Below are 13,245 nucleotides of genomic sequence, written 5' to 3'. Positions count from 1 at the left end.
TTCCCTTTGCATTTTTAAGAAGGATTTTTATGGGGATGGCTTCTTTCCTTAAACCTCATGAACCAATCTTTTCTAGCTTCAAACTATGTTTCTACACCTTTCTTACCTCTCTCAGGCTTTATAGAACTGAAGAGAGGTAAGGTCTTGCTCTGAATTAGTCTTTGGCTTAAGATAATGTTATGGTTGGTTTCATCTTCTATTGAGAACACCAAAACTTTATCCATATCAACAACAAGATTGTTTTGCTTTCTTGTCATCCACGTGTTCACTGGAATAGCACCTTTAATTTTGTTCAAGAACTTTTCTTTTGCATTCATAACCTGGCTGTTTGGTGCAAGAGGCCTAGCTTTCAACCTATCTCAGCTTGTGACATGCCTTCATCACTAAGCTCACTCATTACTTGCTTTTGATTTAAAGTGAGAGACATGCAATTCTCCCTTTCACTTCAACACTTAGAGGCCATTGCTTTGGTATTAATTGGCTTAAATTTCAATATTATTGTATCTCAGGGAATAGAGACGCCTGAGGAGGGAAAAAGAAATGGAAGAATGGCCAGCGAAGCAATTAGAATATACACAATGTTTATCAATTAAGTTTGCCATCTTATATGCACATGGTTCTCAGCACCCCAAAACAATGGCAATAGTAATATCAAAGATCCATGATTACAGATCACAATAACAGATATCATAATAATGAAAAAGTTTGAATTATTGTGAGACAGAGACACAAAGTGAGCACATGCTGTTGGAAAAATGGCATTACCAAGACTAAACTTGGGAAAATGTTGCCACAAACTTTCAAATTGTAAAAAATGCAATATCTCAAAGTACAATAAAGCAAAGCACAATAGGTCGGGCATGGTGGCTCACGCCTGTAATCCCAGCACTTTGGGAGGCCGAGACGGGTGGATCACAAGGTCAGAAGTTCAAGCCCAGCCTGGCCAAGATGCTGAAACCCCATCTCTACTAAAAACACAAAAATTAGCCAGGCGTGGTGGCACACACCTGTAATCCCTGCTACTCGGGAGGCTGAGGCAGGAGAATCACTTGAACCTGGGCAGCAGAGGTTGCAGTGAGCCGAGGTCGTGCCACTGCACTCCAGCCTGGGCGACAGAGCAAGTCTCTGTCTGAAAAAATAAAATAAAAATAAAGCAAAGCACAATAAAACAAGGTATGCTTGTTTTGGTTTTTGCTATTAAGTTATAGGAGCTTCATATATATTTTGGTATATTAACTCCTTATCAGATATATGGTTTGCAAATATTTTCTCCCATTCCATAGGTTGTCTTTTCACTCTTGACTGTTTCCATTGCTGTGTAGAATCTAGTCCCACTTTTTAGTTTGATGCTGCTCACTTGCCTATTTTTGCTTTTCTTGTCTGTGCTCTTGGGGTTCATATCCATGAAATTGTTGCCTAGACGAATGTCATGGAGTTTTTTCCTTGTTTCCCCTAGTAATTTTATAGTTTCTGGTCTTATATTTAAGTCTTTAATTCATTCTGAGCTGATTTTGTATATGGTATAAGATAGGGGTCCAAATTCATTTATCTGCATATACATATTTATTTTCCCAAAACCATTTGTTGAAGAGACTATCTTTTCTCCATTGTGTATTCTTGGTGGCTATGTCAGATCAGTTGACTGTATAGATATGATTTTATTTCTAGGCTCTCTATTTTGTTCCATTGGTATATATGTCTGTTTTTATGCCAGCACTATACTGTTTCAGTTACCATAACTTTGTTATATATGATTTATATATAATATATGAAATATAATATATAATATATATTATATAATTTATATTATATATTATACTATATATTTATAATATAAAATATAAATTATATAGCTTTGTTATATATAATTTATTATATAAATTTGTTATATATATAAATTAAGACGGGGTCTTACTCTGTTACCAAGGCTGAAGTGCAGTGGTGCAATCATATCTCTCAAACTCCTGGGCTCAAGCAATCCTCCCACCTGAGCCTCCTAAATAGCTAGGACTACAAGCACATGCTACCATGTGAGGTTAATGCTTTGTAATATATTTTGACTCCAGGAAGTATGATGCCTCCAGCTTTGTTTCATTTTATGAAAATTGCTTTGGCTATTCTGGGTCTTTTGTTTTCCCAGGTGAATTTTAGAATTATTTTTTCTGTGTCTGTAAAAAAAAATGCCATTTGGGATATTTATGAAAATTGCATTGAATCTATAGATCACTTTAGGTAGTATAGACATTTTAACAATATTAGTCTTTTAATCTATGAACACAGGATATCTTTGCATTTATTTGTGTCTTTTAAAATTTTTGTATCAAGATATTGTAGTTTTCAGTGTACAAGTCTTTCACCTCCTTGGTTAAGTTTATTCCTAAATATTTTATTCTGTTTGGTGCTCTTATAAATAGAATTGTTTTATTAATTTTATTTTCAGATAGTTTGTTGTTAGTATATAGAACGCAAAACCTTTATAATTTATTGTAGGGCAGTTCTACTAACAGTGAAATCTCTCAGCTTTTTTTCACCTGGAAATGTCTTTATTTCTCCTTCAATTTTGAGGGACAGTTTTTCTGGATATAGATTTCTTCATTGGCAGTTTTATTTTTCTTTTGACATTTTAAATATGTCATCTTATCATCTTTTGATCTCCATGGTTTCTGAAGAGAAATTAGTATTTATCTTATTGAGGATCCCTTGTGCATGAAAAGTCATTCTCTCTTTCTGCTTTCAAGATTTTATCTGCTTTTGGCTTTGGACAGTTTAATTATAATGTATGTTGGTGTGTGCTATGGTCTAATTGTTTGCCCCCAAAATTTATGTGTTAAAACCTGATCCTCAGTGTGATGGTATTAAATGGTGGGACTTTTGGGAGGTGCTTAGGATATGAAAGTGGAGCCCTCATGAATGGGATTAGTGCTCTTATAAAATAGGACAAAAGGACTTTATTTGTCCTTTTCTACCTTGTGAGGATGCAACAAGAAGGCACCATCTATGAACCAGAGAGCAAGCCCTTATCAGACAATCTTGGTTGAACTCCCCCATCTCTAGAACTGCAAATAAGTATCTCTTGTATATAAACCATCCAGTTTATGGTAAATTGTGTTAGCAGCCTAAATGGACTAAGTTTGGTTATCTTTGAGTTTATCCTATTTGGAATTTGTTGAGCTTCTTGAATATGTAGATTCATGTCTTTCATTAAATGTTGGTATTTTTAGCCATTGGTTTCTTCAAATATATTTTCTGTCCCCATCTTAGTCCATTTGCTATAAAAGAATACCCGAGGTAGGGTAATTTATGAAGAAAAGAGGTTTATTTGGCTCACAATTCTCCAGGCTGTACAAGAAGCATGTTACCAGCATCTGCTTCTGGTGAGGGCCTCACACTGCTTCCACTCATAGTGGAAAGTGGAGTGGAGATGGTGTGTGTAGAGATGACATGGTGAGAAAGTGTATTAGGCCATTTCTACATTGCTATAAAGAAATACTTGAGACTGGATAATTTACAAAGGAAAGAGATTTAATTGGCTTATTGTTCTGCAAGCTTTACAGGAAGTATAGTACTGGCATTTGCTCAGCTTCTCAGGAGGCCCCAGGAAGCTTACATTCATGGCAGAACATGAAGGGGGAGCAGGCATCTCACATGGTGAGAATGGGAGCAAGAGAGAGAGAGTGAGAGAGGGGAGGTGCCATACACTTTTAAACAACCATTTTTTGCAAGAATTCACTCACTATCATAAGGACACCACCAAGGGAATGGTGACAAACCATTTGAATTAGTCTGTTCTCACACTGCTATAAACAACTACCTGAGACTGGGTAATTTATGAATAAAAGCGGTTTAATTGACTCACAGCCACACAAGCTGTACAGGAGTCATTCTGGGAGGACTCAGGAAACACAATCATGGCAGAAAGTGAAGGGGAAGCAAGCACCATCCTCACATGGCAGAGCAGGAGGGAGACAGAGTGAGGAGGAGGTACCACACATCTTCAAACAAACAGATCTCGTGATAACTCTATCATGAGACCCCACTCAGGGAATGGTGCTAAACCATTATAAACCACCCCCATGATCTAATCACCTCCCACAAGGGCCCACCTCCAACATTGTGAATTACATTTCAGTATGAGAACTGGGTGGGGACAAGTATCCAGACTGTGTCAGAAAGGAAGCAAGAGAGAGACAGAGGAGGTACCAGGCTATTTTTTAACAATCAGCTCTCACAGGAACTGATAGAGTGAAAACTTACTCATGAGCATGAAGACTGCACTAAGTCATTAATGAGGAAACTGCCCCCATGACCCAAGCACTTCCAATTAAGCCTCGCCTTCAAAATTGGGTACCAAATTTTAACGTGGAGTTTCAGGGAACAAATATCCAAACTATAACATGCCTCTTTCTCCCTCTTTGCCTCTGTGACTTTCTCTATGCATATGTTGTTATGTTTAATGTTGTTCCATGATTTCTTAGGCTCTGTTCATTTTCTTCATTCTTTTTTCTGTTCCTCAAACTGCATAATTTCAACTGACCTATATTTATGTTTTGTTATTCTTTCTTCTGCCTGCTCAAATTTGCTATAGAACCCCTCCAGTGACTTTTTGATTTTCAGTTATTGTACTTTTGCTCATGCATCATTCTCTCAATTTTCTTTCTTTGTCTATGTTATCCTTTAGCTATTTAAGCATAGTTAAGACACTTGATGTAACTATTTGTCTAGTAATTCCGATGTCTGGGATTCCTGTCAATTAATTTTTTTCCCTTTGAGTTTGCCATGCTACCATTTCTTCTTGCATGCCTTATAATTCTTTGTTAAAAACTGGCATTCTGATTATTATATCTAGTACTTCTGAAATACAGATTATTTCCCTTCCCCGGAGCTTGCTGTTGGTTCTTGTTGTGGGTTGTAGTTATCTGTTTAGTGGCTTTAAAAACTAATTTTGTAATGTGTAGTCACTCAAGTCTGTCCCATTAGCTTGGTGGTCAGAATATTGTGTGGATTTTATAAAGACCAATTTGTTAAAGTACTGGTATGAGATTTACATGGTCTCCAATAGAAACTCGAAAAAACAAAACTTTAAAACTTTATATAAAAAGATAAGAATTCAGAAAATTACAGCATTATAAGGTTTTAACTAATTTAGTTATAATGTAAACTTTTTAGTTAAATATCCCATTTCCCTAATTTTTGTTTTTTGTGGAAATTTCAGTTTTAACACAACGATGTTAATTACTTTTAAAGATTCAGTGTTTACCAAAAAATTAACATAAAAGGCAATTTTAATTTTTCTAATTAATTGCTAGTCACCTCATGACATTTTCACAAACTTCTGTCTTCCTAATAGAATCCCTTTTTATTTAAGACAGCAGCATGACTGTTAGTTACGTGGTTAATATTTCAGCCTCCTTCTAACTGCAGGCAATCATGTGGTAGTATACTGGCCAAAGAAATACAGATAGAGTTGCTGTGGAAGACTTTCCTTTCTTGTTCACAAGAACAAAGCCCACTTAAACTTTCATCCCTTTCTCTTTCTTTCTTTTTTCCCAGACTCTAGACATGTGACCTGGAGATGCAGCATCCATCTTGTGACCATGAAGCAATAGGGATAAGGGTAAAAGTCTACACATTGCAGATTGCAGATAAAAACATGAAAAGATCCTGGCTGCCTGATGACACTACAGGTTAATAAAAAATACCTCAGAGATTCAAATCTAAACAAAATGCTAAGTCACATTCATCTACATTCACAATTAAAACAATTGAGTGATTTGGGTACAGATGATGAGGGAGAGGATGGAACTCATAAAATGTGGTTTTCTTATTTGAGTGGGCTGCTTGTTATGGCATTAAGGCACAGGCACCATATATTATTGTGTTTGATTATTTACTTACAACCTTCTATCCTATCAGGTAGTAAATGTGTTGGGGCAAGGGCCTTTTTCTGTGTTATTCACCATTGTTTCCCTTATATCCAGCACTATGAGGTTAAGCACCAAAAAAAGCTACTCAATAAATATTTGTTAAAAAATGGAAAAAAGATAATACATATAATTTAGGACACAGTTTATCATGGCTGTGATAATGGGAAGTGTGGAACTAACACTAATGTAATCATCCATCAGGTTCTTCCTACCTGCCCCACAGACAAAATCATTTTACTGAGACCACAGCATTGCAGTAAAGAAAGAGTTTAATTGATGCAAGACTGGCCATGCCATACGGAAGAGAGTTATTACTAAAATCAGTTGCCCTAAAAACTTGGAGGTTAGGGGTTTTCAAGGACAGTTTGGTGAGCAGGGGACTAGGAAATAGGTGCTGCTGATTGGTTGGAGAAGCCGTCACAGGAGAGTGGAACATGGTCCTTGTGTACTGAGTCCACCTCTGGGTGGGGGGTGGGGACCACAGGACTGGTTGATTCATGAGTCAAGAGTCCAGATGGAGTCAGTGGTGGTCAGAAGTGCAAAAGTCTGAAAAGAAATCTCAAAGGGCTAATCTTAAGTTCTACAATAGTGATGTTATCTACAGGGCTAATGAGGAAGTTACAAATCTCATGACCTCCAGAACAAAGGCTGATAATTGTTGAACTATACTTACATCTTAGCAGAAACCAGGCCCCTCTCAAAATTCGAACCTATGGAATTTCATAAATTTTATAAAGGTTGTTTAGTTTTGGGAAGGGCTATTATCATTCTTGCTTTAAGTCTAGCCTACAAAGTAAATTTCTCCCAAAGTTAGTTTGGCGTATGGTGGGAATGATCAAGGATAGCTTGGAGGTTAAAAGCAAGATGGAGTCAACTATGTCAGACTTCTCTTATTATCATAATTTTGCAAGGGCTGTTTCACTAGTAGTTAACACTATCTAAGTATATGCCATGTGCCATAAATTGTACTAAGAGCTTTACACACATTAATTAATTTATTTCAAAAACAAAAGATTAATAGATAGTATCGGCATTATATCCATTTTTAAGATAAGGAGATTGAGGCACGAAGTGCATTAACTTGCTTGAGATTATACAGCTTAAGTAGAAGAGCTTGGATTCTAATTCAGTTTGTCTGGTTTCAAAGCTTATGCACTTAACCATTATCCTCTACTATATATATATTATACACTATATATTATATACATATAGTATATATTATATATACTATATATTATATACTCTATATAGTATATACTATATATTATACTATATATACTAAATATACATATCTATGTGGATATATATACCCTCTACTATATTATAACACTGTGATAATGGGAAGTGTGGAGCTAACACTAACGTAATCACTCATCGGGTTCTTCCTACCTGCTGCGCAGACAAAATCATTTTACTCAGACCATAGCATTACAGTAAAGAAAGAGTTTAATTGATGCAAGACTGGCCACACCACACAGAGGAAGAGTTATATATGATTCATATATATATGAGTTAAAAGCCATATTCCAAACAGAATTGGAAGAAGGAAAGTTATGCACCTGGATTAGAATGTCTCCAGCAGAGCTGCACCGATTGTTAGGAAGCCTCACAAGATGAATGTATTCACCATAATCAAGCATCTAGCTGTCAGATATGCATGTCAAAAATTCAGATCCGCTCACGCTGTTGTTGTTAATTTAGCATAAGAAACTTGACTCACACTAATTTATAAATGACTAAACTACTAAAATCAGAATGCCTATTGACTCATTCGAAAAGAGAAAGTTAATTGAAGATGGAATAAACATCTATACCAGGAAAATGGTATTCAAAAACGGTTCTTAGAATAAAATAAGAATGAGGGAAATTCATAAAAATATTGGAATGTTTAAAGACTCTAGTATCTCATGTGTTGTACTTCACTAGTGATATATCTGCCAGGTAGACTTAACTGAGCACTCTCTCCCTTGGCCTGTGAATGGGCATGGCCTGTTTCTGTATCTCTCACCCTCTTGAGTCTTTCTGGTTGACCTACCCTGTCTTTAGATTTCAGTAAAGATTTCCTAACATGACTATCTTTTCCTGATAACATGTCTTCATTTATGTTTGAGTCTGAAAAGGGCGACCTGATTAGTTTCTCCAAGTTACTTCTCTCTTCCTGTCTCTTCCGACCTCCCTTTCACTTGTACTGTTTGCTGACTTTCATCTGCTTCTTTTTAGTCACAGTTCAAGAAACATGGAACCTCTATCTTGAGACTAAAACCTCCCCACTCTGTGCTTTTGTCCCCCACCCCTTCTTTTACTTTCAGTACTGTGACCACTGTTGGTGGTCTATCCTCTCTTCTGCACTTTCAACTTCGACTTTATCAACACATAAGATTGATCAAATATCTACCATTAAAGAAAAAAAGGCCACAATTCCATGTTCCCTTTAAAATAGAACAGGAAGCCCTCCTTCATTCCTATGTCTCTTTTAAGTACTGCCATGCCTCCTCCAACCCACAGCCAACCTGCTTTACAGATTGACTTCCATTCACTATTCTACTTCTTTACTTTTGTGACTCACCAATTCCCCACAATCTGGCTTTGGCTCCCACTGCTTCAATAAAAATACTTTGGCACACATCCTCAATGGCATCTCATTTGTCAAATTCAATGACCTTCTTTTTTGTTACATCTTTTTGACCTCATCAGGATTTGGCACCATTGAACACCTTTGTAAAGCTCTTATCTCTTTCTTTCATGACACTATTTCTCTTAGTTTTCTGTCTATGATTTCTTTCTGATCTACTTTTTGTGCTCTTTTTCCTTTTTCTTCCCCTTAAATGTATGTGTTCCCTCGGTCTTTGTCACTGGCCCATTGCTATTCATTGTCTATCATTCTACCTCCATGATTATTCCCATTTCTACAGCTTCAATTGCCAATTATATCTCTAACGTAGATTCTCATCGGGGCTCCATATGCTTATGTTCACCAAAGGACGTCTCTCAACGTTGACATTTTAAAACTGGAATTCAATATTTCCTTCAAAATCAGCCCCTTTCTCTTCTTGTTCTTGGTACTATTTGTCCAGCCAAATCAGAAATTTGAGAACCATTCCAAACTTTTCTTCTATTTCCCTACCCTTCATTACATTAGTGGCAACAGCCAATCCTATTAATTCTATTGCTATACTTCTTTGGTAGCTTTAACATTCTCTTTATTGATCATAAGCCAAGAGAGAAAAATTCTCTAGATTTTTCATTTATGTCTTATGATGTTTTCCCTCAATGTTGTTGTAAAACCTCATAAAAGAGGTTTTTATTATTTCATATTTGCTTTGCCCAGATACTTAATCTGTTGGCGGAAAAATCTCCTGTAACTTTGTTTGATGTGAATGAATATACCTCTTCTTAGGTGCTAGAGGAGCTTCTAGGAAGAGCCAGATACACCCCACTATAGTTATTTCTTACTAACATATAAACACAATTAATATAATGTTTAAGTATGGTTGCCAGGTACAATACATCCAATTAAATTTGAATTTCAGATAAAGAGCAAAGAATCTTTTAGTATAAGTATGTCCCATGCAATAATTGGGACATACTTATGTTAACAAAAACTCATGATCTATCCAAAATTCAAATTTAACTGGGCAGACTGTCCTAGTCAGAAATCAAAGGGCAAGCTTGGCTCAATCCATCACTAATGAGCTGTTACATGAATCACTAAATAAATTCCAATCACAGCAAATCCCCCTATACCTATATACTAGGACAGTAGTCAGAAATTTTTGCAAATGAGAAGACAGAAACTCGAGTTACATAATTAAGATTATAGATGTAGAAAATAGCTGGACTATTAAGGCAGGGTGCTTAACTCCAAACTAGTTCTCTTTCTACTATACCCTGCTCCTTATAGGTTAGCCCTATAATAGTGAAGAGGAGAAAATACGCTCGGGTATCTCTAGAGTGGTTACTTAGTACAGCTAGACTCCAATAAAAGATCAACACAACTTTAAAATTAAATTGCAACAGAAATTTATTGGTCATCTTAATAAAATCAGAACGGCTTTAATTATAAACATCTTGAGCCAAATTGTTGGAAATTGTATTAAAATGTTGATTAATTGAAGCATCAAAATTGGAGAAAATTAGTAAGGCAAATCATTTTTAAAATATCGTTGTGTTTCCCAGATTGAAAAGCTGGTTCCTTAGTAAGAACAGTATGTCGCTCCTGACACCATGTGGTCACTTTATGTACTACTTTAAACATTTTTGAAGACTAATGGTCCTGCCACAGGAAAAGTCCAATAAAATAAATGCATACTGTGAGATGCAAGATATCATTTATTGCCATTTATCTATTTAAAAATTGAAGATTATTATAGAAGTTACCAGTGGGTGATTATCAAGTTCTTCATATCTATACGTTAAGCCTTTATTCCCAGTTTTATTACTGGTGTCAGCATGTACTTTTAGAAAGATGTAATCAATTTTCAATTTCTTGACAATGAGCCAAGTGTTTTGTATGATCCCTTTTGAGCAAACTAACCAACATTATAGTATGGCAATTAAGAAAAACTAGTTTTAGCATCAGATGAACTTGGTTCCCCCCATCTTCTTCAACTCCTATGTACTGCTGAGGCCTCTTTTAGCCACTTATCCCAAAGCAGCATATATAGGACATCACTGCTAAAATCTTGGCCACTAGCTGACGTTCCCAAGGCTGGGCATTATCAATGCTTCCTCAACCACAGCTAATGCCTTGAAACCTTCTTTGTGCCAGTGGACCCGCTGTTCTTGAACTACACATCTGATGGAAGCTATGCTTTATTACCCACAAAAGCTGGAAGGATGTTCTTGTTCTTTTTTATACAACAATGTCTCATGTACATCAAAGCACTGCCTTGCTCCCCAGTGTCTAACAGAACTTTAAAGGAAATTGGTTCCTGGAAGTCAGTCACCAACATGTTTAAATTCCAGCAGTAAATACCACTTAGTCTTAAGCTGGTGTATCTTCCACACTTTTCACATGTAGTCTAGGTTTCAAACTTTATTCTGTTGTTGCAGCAATTACACAAATATTCTACAGATACAAGAAGACATGACCGTATATTTCCTGAGGATCTTATCAAAATGTTAGGTCAGTGACAAGTGTAATATTATGAGGATAAATTTAATGTTCCAGTTATTTGACCTTGTTTCTATCAGGTCTGAGCCGTGTCTGCAAATATTTTATTCAGCTTTAGAGGTTCAGAAAGTGCACAGATACAGCTCAGCTGAACATGGCTGACAAACCTTGAGCCAGACAACCATTAGGGAGAAGGGGGTGGATATAAATGTTTTATTGTGTATGCATCTTTTCACTGACAAGAGGAAGTTTTGGGGATTATACATAATTTTAAATAAAATTATACTTTTAAATTAACATTTTCATCTGAATTAAATCTGAATTTATCACTCATATTTCAGATATATATCTTTTTGTTAGATCTTTAAAAAACTTTACATAAACGTATTACATATGCTTTTCTTATAAAAAGTGGGCTATTCTGAGTGCTTTCTTGATTGATTAATGTCATAAAGACTATTCATATAAGTGAGCTTTTATAAGTTCTAGGAAACCTAGTCAATCAATGACAAGAGTAGCTCAAATGCACTATAACCATGAGTCATGATATTGATGTAAATGCTATATATGAAACAGTCAGCACTAGGTTGAGTTAAATTTTTATATTTGAAAAATATTTGCTGCAAAGATTACTTTGAATTATGTTAGAGTCCAGAAAGAAATTCAAATTAAGTTTGTTTTTTCCTTTTTATCTGAAAGACAGTGCTATGTGTTAGAGAATTACAAAAAGAAAGGTAAGTAAATGAAAGATTGTTAGAAAACTTGAATCTTTTAAGCATGAAAGTACATGCCTGATAAAGTAAGGTAAGGGAAAAATATTAATAGTAAACTTCAAGTGGAGAAAGCTGGCAAATACCACTCTCACCAGGTGATATTACATAACAAGTGATATCATGTATCCCCTGATAATATATAATGAGGAAGGAATTTCACCTTATGACATTCTCTCCAAAAATGAAAAGCCCCAGTATAAGCATGAGAAAAATAGTAGATAAACCCAAATTGGGAGACAGTGTACAAGTGCCTGACCAGTATTTTCGAAGCTACCAAGGTCATTAAAGATAAGAAAAGGCTGAGAAACTGTCATAGAACAGAAGACATAGCATGCCATGACAACTAAATGCAGTGTGGTCCCTGGGTTGGCTCCTGGAACAGAAAGAGGTTATTAAGGGGAAAGCCAGTGAAATTCAAATAAATCTGGATTTAATTGCTAACATTTTTAATTGTTTAAAAAATGCATTTCTGAACCCATAAGAGTGGACAACAAGCTTGAGGTTGATTTTTCAATTGTGGTGATAATTGTACTTAATTATTTACACCCTTTAGTAAACTATCAAAACCCTGCAGAGAATTGTGGCAATGCTACTCAAATCAAAGGACTTTTTAAAGTTAGATATTTAGGTCTTCTCTACTGTATGCACTTTTACTCCTCTACAATTGTCTATTTACATGAATGCTGGAATATGGACATTGTTACATATTCCAGAATTCCTGGAAAGCAATAACAGATTTCAGCTTAGTATAACTGTCTGAATAGTATAGCATTAATCTAAGACATGAAGGGGGGTGGGCAGGGTTTAGTAAGAAAAATAATGGATTTCAGTTCTGAATGTGATGAGTTTTAGGGACCTCTGGTGGCAGCTACAGGTGTAGACTGGAGTTCAAGGGAGAGAGCTGTCAGTTATACAGATGACATAGATTTGAGAGTCATTAGCCAATCGTAAGAATCCCCCAGGGATAGGGAAGACAGAAGACAGAAGTATTCCTTTCAATCTACTTGTTTTTCTCATCAGTGTCATGAGCACACAATCAAGAAACTCAACTAAATGGGAATTGGTTGACATCACTTTTCCAGCCCATGTGTCTACAATAATTGCAACCTTAAAGCAGCACTTTGCATAATGTTAATACGAAATGTTGATGGAAAATGCAAGCAGTCATACAGACTACCAACTTTTCAGCAAGCTGAAGATATTCCAATCTAAATTTTGTCTCACTCTTTGACTACAGTGTTCAATTTGACATCTGATGTTGTGGGTGGAGTTAAAAGGTGAAAAACCAACCACAGATTCATGCAGGCCTTGAAATCAACATGAGAGGGTCAAAATGGGAGAAAGGCTCCTGGCATCTATATCTGGAAGAAATCTTGCTAGTTTTACCATTTGTTAATTACAAAATTACAAATTGTTACAGTTCTACGTGAAATAG

General features: G+C 35.9%; 1 long non-coding RNA gene across 2 annotated transcripts in view; it reads left to right on the top strand.

Moving 5' to 3' along the window:
• The window catches only part of LOC101927413 (uncharacterized), a 78,895-nt gene that overhangs the window by 48,223 nt on the left and 17,427 nt on the right, over window positions 1–13,245 (top strand). The window contains exon 4 of one of the 2 annotated variants that reach the window (NR_188035.1): window positions 5,551–5,684. This is a non-coding gene — a long non-coding RNA (uncharacterized LOC101927413). Of the gene's footprint in view, window positions 1–5,550; window positions 5,714–13,245 lie in introns of those variants that run through there. The other variant, NR_188034.1, reaches the window with a different exon arrangement.

Source organism: Homo sapiens, chromosome 8 (genome assembly GCF_000001405.40).
Source record: "Homo sapiens chromosome 8, GRCh38.p14 Primary Assembly".
NCBI classification, from domain to species: Eukaryota; Metazoa; Chordata; class Mammalia; order Primates; family Hominidae; genus Homo; species Homo sapiens.
This window is presented reverse-complemented; position numbering and strand designations above follow the sequence as displayed.